This window comes from Homo sapiens, chromosome 6 (assembly GCF_000001405.40).
Source record: "Homo sapiens chromosome 6, GRCh38.p14 Primary Assembly".
Taxonomy (NCBI): domain Eukaryota; kingdom Metazoa; phylum Chordata; class Mammalia; order Primates; family Hominidae; genus Homo; species Homo sapiens.
In genome coordinates this window covers 52,870,651-52,891,588 of record NC_000006.12, presented here as the reverse complement: position 1 = coordinate 52,891,588, position 20,938 = coordinate 52,870,651, and the positions used below count along the sequence as shown (strand labels likewise).

The following is a 20,938-nucleotide window of genomic DNA, read 5'->3' as shown; positions in this document are numbered from 1 at the left end:
AGATGAGCGATCCTACTTTGAAGGGTAGGAAAGCACACATTTGGGAGTACAAAATCCACTGAACCTGCAGATTGAGATGCTACTGTGGAAAAAAGGAGCCCACCTGGGCAGAAGAGACAGGGTCCTCAGCTTTTTCTGAGTCTGGCAGCCTTCTCCCCTTGCTCTGATTTGCTTGGCTAAGAGAATTATGATTCTTGGGTTGGAATTTCCAAGAACCCATTAAAGTGAAGTCACTGCTGAGCACATTCTGCTCTGTTAGTTGTCCACAAGCCTGTTTTTCTTTTTTCTTTTCTCTTTTTTTTCTTTTCTTTTCTTTCTTTCTTTCTTTTTTTTTTTTTTTTGGTGACAGAGTCTTGCTCTGTCACCCAGGGTGCGGTACAGTGGCATGATCTAGGCTCACTTTAATCTCCACCTCCTGGATTCAAGTGATTCTCCCACTTCACCCTCCCTAGTAGCTGGGACTACAGGCACATGCCACCATGCCAGGTAATTTTTTTTTTTTGGCATTTTTGGTAGAGATGAGGTTTCACCATGTTGCCCAGGCTGGTCTCGAACTCCTGGGCTCAAGTGATCACCTGTCTCGGCCTCTGAAAGTGCTGGGATTAGAGGCATGAGCCACCACACCCGGCCCCACAAGGCTATTTTTCTGACTAGATTTAAACCCTTTAGAGCGAGGACCAAAACATACCAAATATTTTTTGCTACAAGCCATCATCATTGCTTGAGACACCGAAACTGTTTTTAAGAGGCGAACACTCCAGAAACAAGGAATTGAGGAAGGATCAGCAAAATGTCTGCATTTTCAGGTAAGTAACAGGATGGTGTAGAGAAGTGACTGTTTTCATCAAGTGTTAAGAGTGAGACCCTGCCCAAGAGCTATGAATGGCTGGAGAGAGGCAGTGGGGCTCCCACATGCATGGCTGGAGTTCATGCAAAGGGGGCCTGGCAATAGGAAAGGCTCAGACTGCCCTGAGCAGGGGGTGAGTGGTAGCTGGGTCTGGTCTCAGGAGAAAGGCCCACAAGATGCAGTGTATGGGAGCCTTTTTCTGGGATAGAAATCATCTCTTTTTCGAGGTTATAAAACAACCTGGGAACCAGGGATCTGCTGCAGTCTAGGAGTTAAGCAAGACTGTGTTAACGATGGATCAGGCCTCCCTGAACCTTCACTGAAAACTTCCTGTTAATCCAGTGTATTAGTCTGTTCTCATGCTGCTAATAAAGACATACCTGAGACTGAGTAACTTATAATGTAAAAAAGGTTTAATGGACTCATAGTTTCACGTGGCTGGGGAGGCCTCACAATCATGGCAGAAGATGACAGAAGAGCAAAGGGACCTCTTACATGGTGGCAGGCAAGAGAGTGTGTACAGGGGAACTCCCCTTTATAAAACCTACAGATCTCGTGAGGCTTACTCACTATCAGAAGAACAGCATGGAAAGACCCACCCTCATGATTCAATTACCTCTCCCTGGGTCCCTCCTGTGACACGTGGGAATTATAAGAGCTACAATTCAAGATGAAATTTGGATGGAGATACAGCCAAACCATATCACCCAGGTTGACTGGATTAGTGAATATCATTAACCTCTGCACAGGAGCTTTATAGAAAAGACCCACTGTATGACTTCTCTGAAAAAAAAAATCTGGATATATATAAAATCTTATTTTTACCAGAGCTTGATGGGTTAAGAGAGAGAGAGAGAGAGAGAGAGAGAGACAGGAGACCCATGTACTACCCAATGTGTTCAGAGAGACTCATCCACATCCCAAGAAGTGGGGGTCGGAGGACACTCTCATTACTCAGTTCCTATTATGAATTTTATGTACATTATTTTATTAGTCTGTTTTCACACTGCTATAAAAAAATACCCGAGACTGGGTAATTTATAAAGAAAAGTGGTTTAATTCTGCACCACTTTTCTGCATGGCTGGGGAGGCCTAAGGAAACTTAACAATCATGGTAGAAAGTGAAGGAGAAGGAAGTACCTTCTTCACAACGCAGCAGGAAAAGGAGAGAGCAGGAGAAACTACCGCTTATAAAACCACCAGATCTCATGAGAACTCACTCACTATCGTGAGATCAGCTTGGGGGAAACTGCCCCCATGATCCAACCACCTCCACCAGGTCTCTTCCTCAACATGAGGGGATTATAGAGATTATAATTTGAGATGAGATTTGGGTGGGGACACAGAGCCTAACCAGATCAATTATTTCATTTAACTTTCTCAACAGCCCTCAAAAGTAGGTATGGAAATCCCTATTTTTGGTTTGTTTATTTTAGACAGAATCTCTCTGTGTCATCCAGGTTGGAGTGCAGTGGTGTGATCTCAGCTCACTGTAACCTCCATCTCCTGGGTTCAAGAAATTCACCTGCCTCAGCCTCCCTAGTAGCTGGGACTACAGGCGCCCACCACCACATCTGGCTGATTTTTTAATTTTTAGTAGAGACTTGGTTTCGCCATGTTGGCTGGGCTGGTCTCGAACTCCTGATCTCAAATGATCTGCCCATCTCGGCCTCCCAAAGTGCTGGGATTACAGGCATGAGCCACCACACCTGGCCAACAATCCCTATTTTGAAAAGAGAAAATTGAGCTCAGAATTTAGAGAGCCTGAGTTTATGAACCTCATAATGGAAGGAGTTGTGATTTATCTCAGTCTCCCTTCTCTCTGATAAGAAACAGTGTAATTAGGACCACTCAGAGACCTAACTCTTTTAATTTACTACTGGGATTATCATAGGTTATATTCCTTTCAATACAAGCTCATTTTCTAATTGAGGTAAATATACTAGTCCTCAACTCACTCAGGTTTTTAGGTTATCAAATAAGAGAAAGGCAAACTTTTATTAATTTTTTCTTCTAATCAAGCTCCTGAAAAGCTGCTAACAGAAAGGAACTCAAGATTCAGATGTTCGCCTCTTGCCCTCATCTTTAAACCTTTAGCTGGCTAATGGAGTCTGAATGGGAAAATATGAAACGATTTCTCAGACAGAAGCAGAGGCATCTTATAGGGTGGAGTGGAAAATCTCTGGACCTGCAATCAGAAGGAGTTCAGGCTGACCCAACATTCACCAAGTGTGCAGCATGGGCCAGTCGCTTTAGCTCTCTGAACCTCTGTGTGCCCATCTTTAATTAGGCTATTAGGAGCCATTTCCCAGTGTTGTTGCAGAAGGTAGACACACTCCCTAGATATTGACCATGAATGACGAGCATGTATGTGTGACTCATGGCAAATCTTTGAGCTCTCTGGTTCTCAAATTCTCTTAACCCAGCAAAGCTCTGTGGTAAACTTTGTCCCAGTCTTGGTCTGGCCTTTGGAAACCTCATATTGTGAAGGTGATATGTTACTTACAAGAGAGAGCATTATGATAAAATGCTATGTAAGATAACAATTCATTTCCCTTTGAAACATGATCTTCAGTAATGGCTAAGGGTGCAAATGTGTGATTTGAATCACTCTGTGAACTCTAGTTGATAACAATTAAACAAGCACACCCACTGTCTGTGAGGTTCACTCTCCCTTTCCTTCTGAATCATGCTATTTCCATTTCCAATGAGAGGAAAGTGCAATGCGCAAAGTCTCTAATTACAAGACAGATGAGTTGATTAGGTATGTTCAAAGAATTCTTTACTTTCTAAAAGTTAGACTATTGAGTTCCACATTTTAAAATGTAGATATTTAAGAGATTTTGATTTCTAAATTCAAGTCACATACTTTTCTAGAAATACATCTGTTGGTAAAGACAAGTATATTTTTGTACCAATATACCAACCTCGACGACTACAAAATTTTGCAGGAAGAATCTTAATATTTTATAACAGAGCTGGGGGTTTGGAGAGAAAATGCCACTGTTCCTAGATCCTGGCACTGGAATGCCTGCTTTCAATGAGTCTTGTGTGTTTCCATTCAAACTCAGGATACAATTATTTATGGTTTGTCCTTGTAGACTTGGTTTTCATTCTCTGATACTCTGCTACGTTCCACCTCCCAAGCAGGCTGGGATAGAGCAAAGGCTATCATATTTCCTTGATGAGCCCCAATCAATTTATCTCTAACAATTTGCAATGGCCAAATGAGCGTGTACCCATGCAAACATCCATACACATAACACACATATAACTGAAACTAAAAACTCATGAAACATTACTTATTCTCCAGCATGTCATGCTCTCTGGTATTTTTTATTCTTTTATATCTTATTTTTAAAGTATTGGGTTTCACAGTCTGCTGAAAGATTACCATGCGTATTTGAGAAACATTAACATAAAACATAAGGCCCAGTCTTTGTTTTTTGTTTTTGTTTTTGTTTTTGAGACAGAGTCTCGCTCTGTTGCCCAGGCTGGACTACAGCAGTGCGATCTTGGCTCACTGCAACCACTACCTCCTGGGTTCAAGCAGTTCTTCTGCCTCAGCCTCCCTAGTAGCTGGGATTACAGGCATGCACCACCAAGCCTGGATAATTTTTTGGTATTTTTAGTAGAGATGAGGTTTCACCAATGTGGCTAGGCTGGTCTTGAACTCCTGACTTCAGGTGATCCACCCGCCTTGGCCTCCCAAAGTGTTGGGATTACAGGTGTGAGCCACTGCGCCAGCCAGTCTTTGTTTTGAATAGCAGTGGGTTTGAATCCCAGATCCACCACTTACTATGGGCAAGTTACTCAAAAAATCTCAGTATTCTCAACTGTAAAATGAGATTAACAACAGCACTCACTTAGGTGATTTTTGTAGAATAAAATGAAGATAAATTTGGAGGAATGATCAGTGTGTGACTGACATTGAACAAATGATAGCACTTTCGGTTCCCTGCAAAATTAATGCAGCATCTATTTTTCCAGGTTATAAAACAAAATGCACCCTACAGAGGTAGAAAATAGAATTCCAAGAGAATCAAGAAATTATGATTCTCTATCTGTTTAAAGAATTTGGATCTCGTAGCTAGTTAAACAAGTCTGAGGCCCTATTTCTCCCTTTGATCAAACGTAGTTGTATTAGTTCATTTTCACACTGCTATAAAGAACTTCCCTGAGCCTGAGTAATTTATAAAGGAAAGAATTTTAACTGACTCACAGTTCCATATGGCTGGGGAGGTTTCAGGAAACTTATAGTCATGGTGGAAGGTGAAGGGGAAGCAGGCATTTTCTTCACAAGGCAGCAGCAGAGGGAAAGAGAGAGAAGGGGGAACTGTCCTTTATAAAACCATCAGATCTCGTGAGAACTCACTGTCAGGAGAACAGCATGGGGGAAACCACCTCCATGATCCAATCATCTCCCACCAGGTCCATCCCTCAACATGTGGGGATTATGGGGATTACAATTCGAGATGAGATTTAGGTGGGGACAAAGAGCCAAACCGTATCAGTAGCCTAATAGCCAAAGAGCTGAAGAGTGGCTCTGCTCCTTCCTGGTCCTCCCTGTCATGACATACTCTGGTTTCTTGGTCACTTACTGGATTCCCAGGGCCTTCACCTAGGTGGGTTCCAGGCCTGCCTTCATTTTAGTCTTGGGTGTGGATTTTCATGTTCATCACCACCTAGAGTGTGATTGTGGACATTGCATTTCACTTCTCTGATGTTCCATTTCATTAACCAAAAAATGGAGATAATAATAGGCATTTCGGCCGAGCACAGTGGCTCATGCCTGTAATCCCAGCACTTTGGGAGGCCGAGGCGGGCGGATCAGTAGGTCATGAGATCGAGACCATCCTGGCTAACATGGTGAAACCCCATCTCTACTAAAAATACAAAAAATTAGCTGGGCGTGGTGGCGGGTGCCTATAGTCCCAGCTACTTGGGAGGGTGAGGCAGGAGAATGGCTTGAACCCAGGAGGCAGAGCTTGCTGTGAGCTGAGATTGTGCTACCACAGCCTGGGTGACAGGGCGAGACTCCATCTCAAAAAAATAAATAAAAATAAAATAATAATAATAATAGTCATTTCATGGGACTTTGGAGGATTAAAGATATAACATATTAAAAGGGACTAGCATTGGGGAAGTGTCACCAGGATGTTTTTAATAAATATTGGTTCTTGAATTCTTCCTCTTCCCACTACCTTCCATATGTGCATTATTACCACAAACTCTCACTTCTTAACATGGCGAGAATGGTTACATTTAACCAATGGGCACGTGAGACTGGTTTGCTAGAATCTGAGGGTGGCCACCGATGGATAACAATTTGGGCCAAGAAAACATTCCAGGAACTCCTCCAACCCAGTCATGAAGAAGGCAGATTCTTCTTCAGTATTGTTGGTGGTTTTCAACAATACATCCTAATGAACATTTTTGATTCTATGGCTTCAATTATTTGTTCATTCATTCATTCTTTCATTCATGCTTAGAGAAAACTCCAGGAGTCTGCTATCATGGTGGGAAACCCAAGCTCTACTACCACAATGGACAGGGCAGAATGGAGTCCATCCAGTCGCTCCTAGCTGCATCTGGAGTACGGGTAGGTCCTGAGAGGTCATCTTAAGTTGGATCTAAAATTGACCTTACCAGATACTTTTCCCTCAGAAACTATGAGATGTTTCTTACTAAATGACTTGTCAAGTGTTGTACCTTAAAGAAAATTGGCAGTTATTAAGAAAGAGATGATGAATTTGATCTAATAAATTGTTAAAATATCTTCTCATCTAAGGGCATAAACATTAAGGTACATTTAAGAAACAAACTAATCAGAATGTGTGGACTTTAACTGAACTTGGATTTAAACAAACTCTAAAAAATAATTTATGGCATTTGTATAACAGTTAGAAGCATACATATTGATTGAATATTTGATGTCATGAAAAAATTATTGTTAATGTTTCATGTGTGATAATGTACTATGGCTATATTTAAAATCGTTCTTCTGTTTTAGGGAAACACATTGAGGTATCTAAGAATAAAATATATGATATCTGGGATTTCCTCACATTATTACAAGAAGAAAGTGGGTGGGCATGTAGATGAAAACACATTGGCTTTAGCTGGTATAAACCAAATATAAAATTCTAAGCCTCTTACCCAGCCCCGACCATCTGAATGGACCCTCTTCTCAGCAAGGGCATTACTAAGCTAACCTGAAAAACCAATTTAGGCCATGATGGGAAGTGGGAAGTTGGACATGCCCTCCTCTCTTTTGGAATTACTGATAGAACAGACTCTAAGTCTGATAAGAAACATTACTTTCAATGGCAAAAACCACAATTACTTTTGTACCAACCTAATACAATTTATTTTCTCTGAAGCCTGCTACCTGGATGCTTCATCTGCATGATAAAACTTTGGTCTCCACACCCCCTTATTACCCTAACCCAGATATTCCTTTCTATTGATCCCAGGTGAAGGGGTGGCCTGCTCCTCCACACCTGTGGGTATTTCTAGTCGGGTGGGACGAGAGACTGAGAAAAGAAATAAGACACAGAGACAAAGTATAGAGAAACGACAGTGGGCCCAGGGGACCGGCACTCAGCACACCAAGGACCTGCACCGGCACCGGCCTCTGAGTTCCCTCAGTTTTTATTGATTATTATTTTCATTATTTCAGCAAAAAAGGAATGTAGCAGGAGAGCAGGGTGATAATAAGGAGAAGGTCAGCAAAAAACATGTGAGCAAAAGAATCTATGTCATAATTAAGTTCAAGGGAAGGTACTATGACTGGACGTGCACGTAAGCCAGATTTATGTTTCTCTCCACCCAAACATCTCAGTGGAGTAAAGAATAACAAAGCAGCATTACTGCAAACATGTCTTGCCTCCCACCATAGGGCGGTTTTTCTCCTATCTCAGAATTGAACAAATGTACAATCGGGTTTTATACGGAGACATTCAGTTCCCAGGGGCAGGCAGGAGACAGTGGCCTTCCTCTATCTCAACTGCAAGAGGCTTTCCTCTTTTACTGATCCACCTCAGCACAGACCCTTTACGGGTGTCGGGCTGGGGGACGGTCAGGTCTTTCTCATCCCACGAGGCCATATTTCAGACTATCACGTGGGGAGAAACCTTGGACAATACCCCGCTTTCAAGGGCAGAGGTCCCTGCGGCTTTCCACAGTACATTGTGCCTCTGGTTTATTGAGACTAGAGAATGGCGATGACTTTTACCAACTATACTGCTTGTAAACATTTTGTTAACAAGGCACATCCTGCACAGCCCTGGATCCCTTAAACCTTGATTTCATACAACACATGTTTTTGTGAGCTCCAGGTTGGGTCAAAGTGTCTGGGGCAAAGCTACAAATTAACAACATCTCAGCAAGCAATTGTTTAAAGTACAGGTCTTTTTCAAAATGGAGTCTCTTATGTCTTCCCTTTCTACATAGACACAGTAACAGTCTGATCTCTCTTTCTTTTCCCTGCACCCAGGTCTTTAGATCATAACTCTTTCAATCAACTGCCAATTGGAAAATTTTATAATCTACACAAAATCTGGAAGTCCACACTTCCAGTTGTCCTGCCTTTCTGGACTGAACAAATGTACATCTCTATATATTTGATTGATGTCTCATGTCTCCCTAAAATTAAACTATATCCCAACCACCTTAAGCACACGTTCCCAGAATCTCCTGAGGGCTGTATCACAGGCCATTGGTCACTCACATTTGGCTCAGAATAAATCTCTTCAAATATTTTACAGCGTTTCACTCTTTTCCCTAATATTGGTAATTATTGATTCTATATGAGGAATACAAGAAAGGTCATTATACTTTTGTGTTATTTTTATACATGTTAGAAATTTATACAATAAGAGGATAAAAAGGCATAATATTAGAAAGTGAATGTAAAGTGGAACTGCGTACTCACCTGTTAAAGACTCAGTATACTAATTCAATGATTATTTTGTTGTGCACCTACTAAGTGCCAGATTCTGTGTGAGGTTCTGGAGGTAGACAGTGAACAAGACAGACTCAGTCTCTGCCCTCGGGTAGCCTACATATCTATAAGAATGGAGACAAGTAAACAGGTGATTAAAATAAGGAGCTTCCAGGAGAACACCCAAGCATTCCCCAGTGTTACCATATCATCCACCCAGTGTCTGAGGAGGAAATGCAGGGAGGTGTCTGTGGGACTCCGTTGAGTGCTGCCCTCTAGAGGTGTCACTGAGAAAAACACGTTCTAGTCCAGACCACAGTCCCTCAGTAACTGCCTGAGAGGGTTTTCTTCCGGAGTGAGTCTTCGACAACTCAGGAGATCTTGTCCCTTGGATGGTAGCAGAAAAAGAGGGTTTCAGGTGAGGTGGCGTCCTGTGAGGGGAACTTCCAGTGAGCCCCTTCAGCCTCACAGCGCCGTGTGGAACTGAGCCTTGGGACGGCACTTTCTCCATTGCTTCACGAAGGCTCGGGACCTTAGCCTCACCCTTTCTCAATCCTACGAATAAGCACACAAGAAATCCACACACCGTCATTCCAGGTTTTGTTTGTTTGTTTGTTTGTTTTGGTACAAATGAATACCCCGTTTCACTGTCACCCAGACGTCAGCTCTGCAGCTCAGGGATGTGTTCAGAGCCCGGGTAGGAAGAGTTCAGCAGGAGGGAGGGAGGGGCAAGGCTGGGAGGAACCCAGGCTCCCTGGCCTCCATCCAGCCTGACTGAAGGCGGGGGCAGGGCTGACTGCAGACCTTGCTCAGGCTTCTGGGGTCTCAGTGCCCTAAGGCTGATGATCACAACCAAGTCCTCAGCCTCACAAGCACATCCCACTTGCCAGTCCCACCACCTCGGTCACCCTCCTGCCAGGACCACACACCGTTCCTTAGGTTTGTCCTGAACCGGACACAGTATTAATTTCTGGCACACCCTTCCTGCCCCCGCCTCCCCCACCCCCCAACCATGATCTCTAGATCCTGGTCCTGTGTGATCATAGATCCACAACAAACTCTGTTCCATGGAGCAAGCTAGAAACCCCCAAATTCCTGACATTTGACTATAAAGAACTCTATTAAAGTATACTTAGCCACTGCAAACACCGCTACTGTTTATTACTTGATTTATGTGGGTCAGGCCCTGTATGATGCATTTTGAAAACATTAAAACATTCTGTTAAGAAAATGTTCTATGCCCATTTTGCAGATGAGGGAACTAATGCTTAAAGACGTTAAGTGATGATTCCCAGATCACACAGCTATTATGAGGCAGAGCCAAGATTGGAACCAGATCATATTAACAGTGAAATCCTGAAAATCTTTGTAAGAGTCTGCTTTAACTTTTATTTTTATAGATTCTGCCTATTAAGTCAACTGCATCATTATGTAATAACTGATTTTCATATTTATATTAAATACCTGCATCTACTCAGAGTTTCTGATCAGATTTAGACAACCTTGCTGGCTGCCATTCCAACTACTCTCAGGACAAGGTGTAATTTATTTCAAAGTTTAAATTACTGGATATAGGTCAACAAGAGACTATACATTCAGTGATTTTAGATTGATTTAAATTTTTTGAAAAGGATGCTATGAAATAGCAGCCATCTCTCAGAGTCCCAAAACATATATTTAACGAGCATTTATTATATACCTGCTACTTTTCCAAGTGCTTTGCATGACTTTGAAATTTAATTTTCATACCAATCTTTTTTTTTTTTTTTTTTTTTTTTTTTTTTTGTTGAGGCAGAGTCTCACCCTGTCTCCCAGGCTGGAGTGTAGTGGTGCAATCTTGGCTCACCGCAACCTCCACCTCCCAGGTTCAAGCCATTCTCCTGTCTCAGCTTCCTGAGTAGCTGGGATTACAGGCATGCGCCACCACACCTGGCTAATTTTTGTATTTTTAGTAGAGATGGGGTTTCTCCATGTTGGACAGGCTGGTCTTGAACTCCCGACCTTAGAGGATCCGCCTGCCTCGGCCTACCAAAGTGCTGGGATTACAGGCGTGAGCCACTGCGCCCGGCCTTTCATACCAATCTTTAAAAAAAGCTTCATAAGTATATCCATTTCACAGGTTAGGATACTGAGACACAGAGAGATTCAACAATGTGTCCAAAATCAAGAAGCCAGGACTTGAAAATAGTGATATTAAACCCACACAGCCATATCATAAACCACAGATTTTTATTAAAAATAACATTAGTCTGGGGACCCTAATTCCTTCCTCAAATTGAGAATTCTACTCTGTCATGTTCCATTTACTCCAGGAGGGGAAATTATCGTTGCAAGAGTTAAAGCTGTGCAATAGCAGGACCTATCTCATGCACAGTAGGGCTCCTAACAAGTGGGGTGATATAAATTACAGCAGAGGTTCCTCGGTGGAAGAATCTTTTTTGGTCATTAGCCCATTGCATACCCCACACTAGGGACACAAAGCCTGCGGTCTGATCTCACCTGGAGACACATGCTTTCCTATGATACGACAACAACATAACTAGAAGAACTGCTTGATACCTTAACGCCAGTGACATCCCCTCCCAAATCATGACCTAATCATGGACATGGGAGAGATCAGGGTGTGGATGAAGTGAACTAAAAGATTGAGTGCTATGTGCTGTGATCCATGCTTTTCTCTTGATGAATCTAGTCTAAATTTCCAAGTGGCCATGACCAGACCCCTCTGTGTGCACTGCCAAACTCAGAAATCTTATATTCTCCAAATTATGTATCAGACAGTAGCCATTCAAGGTTAAAAGTCTATAATGCTATGGAATGACCTATCAGGAGCCCATTCACTGATTCTGCTTTCGGTTTGAAGAGAAATTTCTAGAATCTGCAGAAGATTTGGAAAAGTTAAGAAATGGTAAGATCGAGTCTCTACGTGTCTCTGAGGAAGGTATCTAGTAGAAGGTACACTTGCAGGTTTTAATACCAGGCCGTGTCTATGTGTGCGAAGGGTGGTAGTTGGGGTGGTGGAGAGGGAAAAAAGTGGTTAAAGTAGAAAGGGTGGGGCTCCTTGAGCAGTTCTGTCAACTCTCTCCAGGCTAAAAGGGCCAGACCTCTTAGAGTATTTGCTAGAGGAGCCATCCCCAGCACCCTGAGAATGGCCTTTCCTTGCTTTCATTCTTTCAACACTGTGAATAAGCTGTGGTTGGTTCGGGATCCCATACAGCCCTCCCCATCCAAGGACACGCGCGGACATTCATCAGAGGGAAGGAGTTGAAATAGGTCCATCTTGAATTCATTTCTCTTATGAATTTGACAAGGTGATATTCTTGCAACTGTAGGCTTAGATAATGAGATAGTGTTGAATTGGTTGGAAGTCCAGGTCAGAGGGTGAGGAGGGACATGAGCCAGGGTAGCAGCAGTAGAGTGAGGAACACAGCACCCACCCTGCACACACTGTCCAGTGGGGGTATTGAAGACTATACAAAGGACCTACATAGAAACTTTTCTCAGAACTGTCTTTAATGTCTTCACACCATGAGATTTACTTTGAGATATTCCCATGTTAATTGGCATGTGGCTAGTGGGCCTGCAGCAGCCTCTCCCAACTTCTTCCTAAAATATCCATGAAGATATATCAACACAAAAAATACAAGGGACCTATTATGTATCTGGATGAGGAACAAAAACATAAATGAAATAAGAGGCTACAAGGTAAGAGGAAGCTTGATAGGAAAAAGAAGGACTAAGGAAGCTAAAAACAAATTTCTATTTCCTTTGAGAGGTTATACCAGGCAATAATTTCTTTTCTATTTTATAAATTTAGTCATTTCAGCAAACATTTTTTCATGCTGAAAGACTGGGATTCATAGACATCTGACTCTCCTTTTTTTCCTTCTTTCTAAAGATGGGAGTTTGATGTTCCAGCAAGTGCCAATAGTTGAGATTGATGGGATGAAGCTGGTGCAGACCAGAGCCGTTCTCAACTACATTGCCAGCAAATACAGTCTCTATGAGAAAGACATAAAGGAGAGAGTCCTGTATGGTATATTTTCTGTTCTTCCATTAACAGAGAATACAGAGTGATTTAGGTCCTTCCTTGAGTGGGCGGGACCGTGGCAGGGGCATTATCGTCAGCATCAGGCTGGACCTTGGGTGTGTATGCTGAGTTGCAGTATTGCAGAGTCCCATGGAGATGAGGAAACAGTGAACATGGGGTGGGTTCAGGTGAGGGTGATTCTAGAAAAGGATGCAGTCCATGGATCGAGCACCCTGACAGAGGTTTCCAAACACTGATGAACCATGAACTCAGGAGGATGGCAAATCATGATTCCAGGTGCTCAGGCCTTCAGAGACTGGGCGCCAACAACAGCTTAGGACAAGTCATAGAATGTTTGAGAGTCGGTAGATGAAGGCCTGGGGAGAGAAGGCTCTAAAGAAGCTGAATCTCAGGTTCCAATAACTCCAAGAATGATGACCAGGAACCTACGTTAGCAACTAATTATATGAACTGGTCAACTTGACTCAGGTTAGCAGAGGCTGGTGCCCAAGATACCAGGATTACCTAAAGTGAAGCATTTGATACAGACCTAAGCAGCCACACTGATTTTGCACCAGCAAAGCTGGGAGGAGGGGTCTCCTCCCCTGTTGGCAGTTCCTTGAAAAGTCCAATATAGAGTTACCAATGACCTAACAATTCCACTACCAGGTCTACAACCAGGATAAAGGAAAACACAGCCTCACTAATCCATGCACAGAAATGTTCATAGGAGAACTATTCATGATATGCAAAAGGTGGAAACTACCCAAATGTCCACCCATGGATGAATGGAGGAACAAGACGTGCTGTGGCAGACAATGGAATATTCTTGGACTATGAAAAGGGTCAAAGTACTGATGCATGCTACAACATGGGTGAACCTTGAAAACATGTTCCATAAAAGAAACCAGACACCAAAGGCCACATGTTACATGATTTCTTTTGTATGAACTATCCAGACCATTCGAATCTAGAAAGTAAATCAGTTGTTGCAAGGGGCTGGATGGAGGGGGCTAAGGGGAGTGGCTGCCAAAGTGCTACTGCTTTCCCAGGTGATTAGAAAATAATTGGGAGATCTTCTTTTTTTGTTGTTGTTGAAAATTACTAGCTTGCTTGAAAGTATATATCTTTAGAGATAGCTTTTAGAGATATGCTTTATTTCCTATTTATTTATTGTTATTTTTAATTTTTTTAGAACTTCGAACATTGAGCATAAAAATGAGCCTGAGATATGTAGTATGGTGAGAAAAGGAGACAGAAATGTTCGAGATGGCTGTTCCAGGGACTCTGCCTTGGGATTACTTAAATGGTAGGTCTTTGGCTATATGAATCATGCTAAGCTCATCCACAAAGCAAACCACAGCTGAGATAGCAAACCCTATTTTTAGCATCAGTGGTTACTTGCAGTGATTCCACTAATTCCTCTCATGACTGTGACTCTAGACAGGTCACAGATGTTGATATTCTCTGTACCTGTATTTGGTCACGTGTAGGACAAACATTTTGGACATATATCTACCCCTGTAGCATGTTCTGAGAAATAAATGTAATATGTATGTATAACTAAGAGCATGACTGGCATATAAAAGGCACCCACTGGAGCTGAATTACTTTGTCACCATCTGAGGCTCTACTGTCTCAGGTGTTTAAACCATAAAATCTAAGGCAGAAGGCATTTTGACAGTTTGGTTCTTTTTGTCTTTCAGGATGAATGTAGAAGGATATATGTAGAAGGTAGGAAATTTTGAGTGAAAAGATTCTTCATTATGCACTACCTCCACCTAAGGAAAAAGATGCAAAGCTTGCCCTGATCAAAGGGGGAACAAGAAGCCATTATTTTCCTGTCTTTGAAACTGTACCTGGGAGCTTCTGTATACCTGAACACATGCATGGAGCTTCTTGGAGGGTGGCACGTCCAGGGAAGGCATGGAAGCGCCATGCCCCTTCCCCATATCTTGCCCTAGGCATGTCTTTATCTTTTCAGTGGCTACATGATTTGAGCCTCCAAACTACGAAAGAGATTTTTTTCACCCAACTATATGGATTACCACCTAATGGGATAAAGAAAACCTAAAGTCACAGTCACTGCTGTGCCCCAGGTGGAAGCTGTAATCTGCCTGGATCACTGCCAAGTTTAAAGAACAACAAGAACAAAAACCAAGAGTGAAGGATTTCATTTAGTTTCAGGGATGACCCACAGCAAAGTTTGTAAACATGGACAGAGATCCCATGATAACCTCAAACTCAGTGTACTGTGAGGCTGTCTTGAAAAACAGGCTTTTGGGCCTATGCCTATATGCTGCCTCTTTTTTTTTTTTTTTTTTTTTAATGACAAACACTTCTCGATAGCATGGCACAAAGCAGTACCACAAAAGACTGAAAAGAAACAAACAGGCAAAAAAGGCCTGGTTCTATTAAGGATGCTAAGCAGATGGGAACCAATACAAAACCGAGGTCCAAACTGAGAATAAAAAGTGAAAGAGCTCAAAGCAAAGAGAAAAGAGTTCAGCCCAGGTGCGGACTTGCCACAAGGCACAAGGAACCTTTGTGGATACTGCACCTGGCTGACGGCTGGGGTCCACGGCAATGGGCAACATAGACCATGTCTTGTTGCAACCTCTGGAAAAACTGTGAAAGTGAATGAAGACAACCCAAATGAGAATAAGCAAAAGGTGTTTATTTCGAGCTTGCTATAGTAAGGAAGTCAGGCACCATCACTTGCGTTTGCCAGAGATTCAGAGGCAGGCGGGAAAGTCTGAGAGATTTATGGTGGAAAAAGTTATGCCCTGATTGCATGTTGTTGGCATGAAGATGCTGTAAGCTGGCTAGCTGGAAGTGTGAATTTCTATGTGATTGTTCAGAGATCAATATTTTACTTTCTGTGTTTGGTCATAAACTGAAAGTGGAGGCAAAAATTAGGAAAGCTGGCAGTTATTGACCAAATGCTGGCATATTTCACTGTTGTAAAGGTCATGATAGAAGCTGTTTAGTCTATAAGGACACTAAGAGTTTAGAGGGTTTCTTTGTAGTTTGGCTGCTATAACAAAAATACCATAGACTGGGTAGCTTAAAGAACAGATGTTTCTATCTCACAGCTCTGTAGGCTGGGAAGTACAAGATCAATGTGCCAGCAGATTTCATATCTGGGGAGCTCCTGTTCCTTGATTCATAGACAGCCAATCTCTGGCTGTGTCCTCACATGGCAAACATGCCAAGGGAGTTCTCTAAGGTTCCTTTTATAAGGGGACTAATGTCATTCATGAGATATCCACCCCCATGACTTGATCGTCTCCTGGAAGCCTCACCTACTAACAGCATCACATGGGGGTCAGGATCCCAACATATGAATTTTGGGGAAACTTAAACATTCAATCCATAACATAAGGCAACAGAAAAATAGTGCCTGTGCATTTTTGGGGCATTGACCTTCAGGTCCAAAAAGGCTTCCTTGATGTTAATTGAGCTCTTGACTCTCAAGGCATGGTATAAAAATAGACTGTGAGGAAGAATTTCACCAGTTCTACCAAAGAGTCCCATGATACATGAATTTGAACTATGTATGCTACAATATAGCATTCAATGTTGCATTTTCTTTATGTACCAAGTAATTATTTACACTTACATATGTATACACAGTCTGAAAGGGTATTTGCCAAAATATTACCTTAAATCAGTGATGCTGTGTGTTTTCTCATTTTATTATTTATGGTGTGAATGTGCTATAATATTTTAATAAATACCACATATCACTAAAAATTTTGTTATGAAACATTTTATACATTCACAATAGTTGAAAGAAATATTTTATGAACATATATACACCAACCACCTAGACAGCAAAATTAACATCTCCTCATCTGGGCTTTACCACACGTGTCAGTCACTCCACTCCTGTCTCCCTCAGTCAAACACATTTTTTTTTTTTTTTTTTTTTTTTGCATTTCAAAGTAAATTGCAGACATCAGTGCAGCTCACCCTGGATACTGTGGCATGCAGATTATAACACAGTGAAATCAGTAAGCGCCAACGTTGCAAGAAAGGGGATGAATTCAAGTTCACCCAGGTTTACTTCAGATCCTAGAGCAGGAAATAAGGAGTGCATACAAGGAGAAATGAGGACTCTGATATAGTCTCCTCCTGGGAGAAGAGTGCTGTCATGAAGGTGGAGTCACTTCCCAAGAGAGATTGGAGAGAGATAGCAGAGTGTAGAATCATGCCCTGAACATCAGGGCTGCACGCTGTAGGGTCTGGGGAAGACAGAACATGTTGTAGCAGGTGCTAAGCCCCTGGCCCATGTGGAAGATGCAAGCCGAGTGGGTGGTGTGGACACCGCAGTGAGGTGGAATGAGAAGAGAAAATGAGAGCCTGGGCTCCAACCAAGGAATTAGAAGAGCCACACTTCTTACTCTCTCAATGAGTCAGGGAACATGGAGAAAGATCCGGGTCTCTGCACCCATGCAGTGAGGCAGCAGAGGTGGGAATGTCAGGCTGGAGAAACTCAGGAAGAAGCAGGGGCCCCAGCCTGATTGCACATGTGTTCCTGGTCCGATTCCCCCAATTATCCAGGTGTGAAAGAGCCGCGGACAAGATTACCTTGTTGGCAACAAGCTGAGCCGGGCTGACATTCACCTGGTGGAAATTCTCTACTATGTGGAAGAGCTTGACTCCAGCCTTATCTCCAGCTTCCCTCTGCTGAAGGTGACCCATTTCGTAGCCCGGAGAGGCAGCCCCACATCTCCCATCTTGGGATCTCGGATCTGGGTCCTGGGACTAGCCATGTTCTGACACCAGCCTTCTCCAGGCCTTCAGTGCCCTCAGGTCTCCAAAGTGAGCTTCCAGGCCCTGATTCCTCACAATCAGGGAAAGATTCTTGTTATGTCAGTGAAATGTGTGGCTACCTCATGAAGAGCATTTGCCTTTTATCATGGAAAGGATCCAGGGCCCAGCATCTCTCCCCATCCTTCTATTTCAACGTGGTTTCTGTTCCTGAATTCTCTGTGATGTCCTTTATCCCATATGTGCCCTTGTCTTCCCACACCAAGTCTGTCTGAGCAGGGCCCTTTCTGTCTGGTTTCCTTCCCTGGGCTCTGGCTCCTGCTGTCAGACATTGATTGCGTTTCTCTCTGCACAGCTCTCCGAGTACACTGCCCCCAGCCCTGTATACCTCAGTGGGAGTGGCCCCATGGTTTGTCTTTAACATTTTCTATTTTCATTTCTAACTCAATTTTCCCATATTTTCATTTCTGCCTAGAGGCTGATCTGTGTTGATATCTCACAGGCACATTATTTTTTCTTGACTTACACAAAAGCCACGAATCCTCAGGATTGATGTATAAAGAAGAGAGTAGGGAGACTGAACTAAATAAAATCTAAAATACATCTTTGGGAGAATGCTAGTGAGCTTCTTGTTCTCCCTCTTATATTCTTTCTCTTATCTTTTTTCTCTTCTTTCTCTCATATTCCTCTTATCTCTTATTTCTCGCTCAGAGTCTGTTTCCCAGCCTTCATACTGGTGCTGATGGAGGGGCCTCATTTGGTCTTTGTGTAGGAGAGGCTCAGATTCCCTGGGTGGTATTAATGGTGGTGTCAGTCCTTGGCTTCACTCTGAGGCTGTGCTTTGTGCATTGCAGGTCCTGAAAACCAGAATCAGCAAACTGCCCACGGTGAAGAAGTTTCTGCAGCCTGGCAGCCAGAGGAAGCCTCCCAAAAAGGCAAAACTTTTAGAAGAAGCAAGAGAGATTTTGAAGATTTGATAAAGCAGCCATGGAGGCCAAGAACTTGCAAGACCAATATTCTAACGTTTTACACAATGAAGTGCTTTACCTAAATGTTAATTGTGGCTTTTGTGATGTTAAACCCATTTTTTTAATTGATATAAATACAGTTATACTAGTCCTCAACTCACTCTGGTTTTTAGTTTGTCAAAGTAGAGAAAGGCAGACTTTCTGAAAGTCCCCTGAAAAGTTGCTAACAGAAAGAACTCAAGGATTAGATGTTCCCCTCTTGCCCTTGCCTTCCACCATTTAGTTGGCTAATGGACTCTGAATAGGAAAATATAAAACAACTTCTCAGACAGGAGCTGAGAGCCAGGTTACAGGGTGGAGGGGAAAAGCTCTGGACAGCTCTGGACCTGCAATCAGAAGGAGTTCAGGCTGACCCAACACTCACCAAGTGTGCAGCGTGGGCCAGTCACTTTAGCTCTCTGAACCTCAGTGTGCCCATCTATAATTAGGATATTAGAAGCCATTTCCCACGGTTGTTGCAGAAGGTAGACACACTCCCTAGATATTGATCATGAATGAGGAGCATATATGTGCGACCCATGGCAAATCCTTGAGCTCTCTGGTTCTCATTTTCTGTTGACCCAATAAAGCTCAACGGTAACCTTCGTCCCAGTCTTAGCTGGACCTTAGGAAACCTCATATTGAGAAGCTGACATGTTAGTTACCAGCAGTAGTGTTGTGATAAAACGTTATGTAAGATAAACATTTCTTTCCTGTTGAAACATGATCCTCAATCAATGGCTAAGGGAGCTTAGTGTGGGGATTAGAATTATGACACTGTGAACTCTAATCCATAGCAATTAAACAACCACACCCCACACTTTCGTGTGAACTTCACTCTCCCTTTCTTTCTGCTGAATAATGCTATTTCCATTTCCCAAGACAGAAAAGTGCAGTGTCAAAATTTCTAATTACAAAACAGGTGAGTTGATTCAGTATGGTTTCTAAAAATTCTTTACTTTCCAAAGGTTAAACTCTTGACTCCCACATTTTAAAACGTAGACATTTAAAAGATTTTGACGTCTAAATTCAAGCATACAAACTTTTTAAGAAATACATTAGTTGGCAAAGACAAGTACATTTTTGTTCCAAACTCAACAACCACAAAACTTTCCAAGAAGAATCTTAATGTTTAATGACAGAGCTGAGTGTTTGGAGAGAAAATGCAACTGTCCCTAAATCCTGGCACTGGAACTCCTGCTTTCAATGAGTCCTGTGTCCTTCCATTCACATTCATGATACGATTAGTTGCATCTGTCCCTGCAGCCATTGGTTTTCATTCTCTGATACTCTGCTATGTTCCATCTCCCAAACAGCCTGGGATAGAGCAAGGGCTATCAAACTTCACTGATGAGCCCAGTCAATTTATCTCTAACCATTTACAATGAGCAAGTGCGCGTGCACACATGCAAACATCCATACACACAATATACAAATAACTGAAACTAACAACTCATGAAACATTACTTACCCTTCAACATGTCATGCTTGCTGATATTTTCTCTTCTTTTCTATTTTATTTTAAAAAGTAGTGAGGTTTCACAATCTGCTGAACTCTTACCATGCATATTTGAGAAACACTAACATAGAAAATAAGACTCAGTCTTTAGTTTTTAATAGCAGTGAGTCTGAATCCCAGATCCACCACTTAATCTGGGCAAGTTACTTTAAAAAACCTCGTATCCCCAACTGTAAAAAATAAGAATAACAACCTCATTCACCTTAGGTGATTTTTGTAGGATAAAATGAGGAGAAGTTTAGAAAAATAACCAGTTGTGTAACTGACGTTGAACAAATGCTAGCTCCTTCCATATCTTGCAAAGTTAATGCAACAACATCTTTTTTTCCAGGTTATGAAATAAAATGCACCCCATAGAGTTAGAATATAGAATGCCGAAAGAAGCAAGGGATTAGCATTCTCTGTCTTTGAAAGAATTTGGTCTTCTAACTACAGTTATACAACTCTGAGGCCTGATTTTTGCTTTTTGTTTTGAAGAGTGACTTAGCTCCCTGCCGGTCCTCCCTGTCAGTGACATCCTCTGGTTTCATGGCCAGTTCATGGGTTCCCAGGGCCTTCACTGGGTGGCTTCCAGGCATGACTTCATTTTAGTCCTTGGTGTAGATATTCATGTCTGTCACCAGCCAGGGTGTGACTGTGAACCCTGCATTTTTCTGATGTTCCATTTCATTAACTAAAAAATGGAGGAAAAAACCATTTCATGGGACTATAAGGAGGGTTAAAGATATAAAATATTGAAAGGGACTAGACTGAAGAAGGATCATTAGGAAGTTTTCAATAAATATTAGTTCTTGAATTCTTCCTCTTCCCATTA

At 42.3% G+C, this 20,938-nt stretch overlaps 1 long non-coding RNA gene and 1 pseudogene across 6 annotated transcripts in view, besides 1 other annotated feature; one reads left to right on the top strand and one right to left on the bottom strand.

Annotated features, from left to right (window-relative positions):
- LOC105375091 (uncharacterized) overlaps positions 1-20,596 on the bottom strand; it is a 34,762-nt gene extending 14,166 nt beyond the window's left edge. For 5 of the 6 annotated variants that reach the window (XR_001744160.2, XR_926877.2, XR_001744159.2 and 2 more), the window contains exon 1: positions 8,784-8,924. This is a non-coding gene — a long non-coding RNA (uncharacterized LOC105375091). Of the gene's footprint in view, positions 1-8,783; positions 9,348-20,076 lie in introns of those variants that run through there. The other variant, XR_001744165.2, reaches the window with a different exon arrangement.
- GSTA10P (glutathione S-transferase alpha 10, pseudogene) lies at positions 791-18,575 on the top strand (annotated as a pseudogene).
- Positions 19,210-19,379: an enhancer, noted in NCBI's record as "experimental_92154 CRE fragment used in MPRA reporter constructs". NCBI's record gives its function as "activates a minimal promoter by MPRAs in K562 erythroleukemia cells, with activity observed for the non-introgressed 6:52737093 variant allele {active_cell/tissue: K562}" and the evidence as "EXISTENCE:reporter gene assay evidence [ECO:0000049][PMID:34662402]".
- Positions 20,597-20,938: the final 342 nt, after the last annotated feature.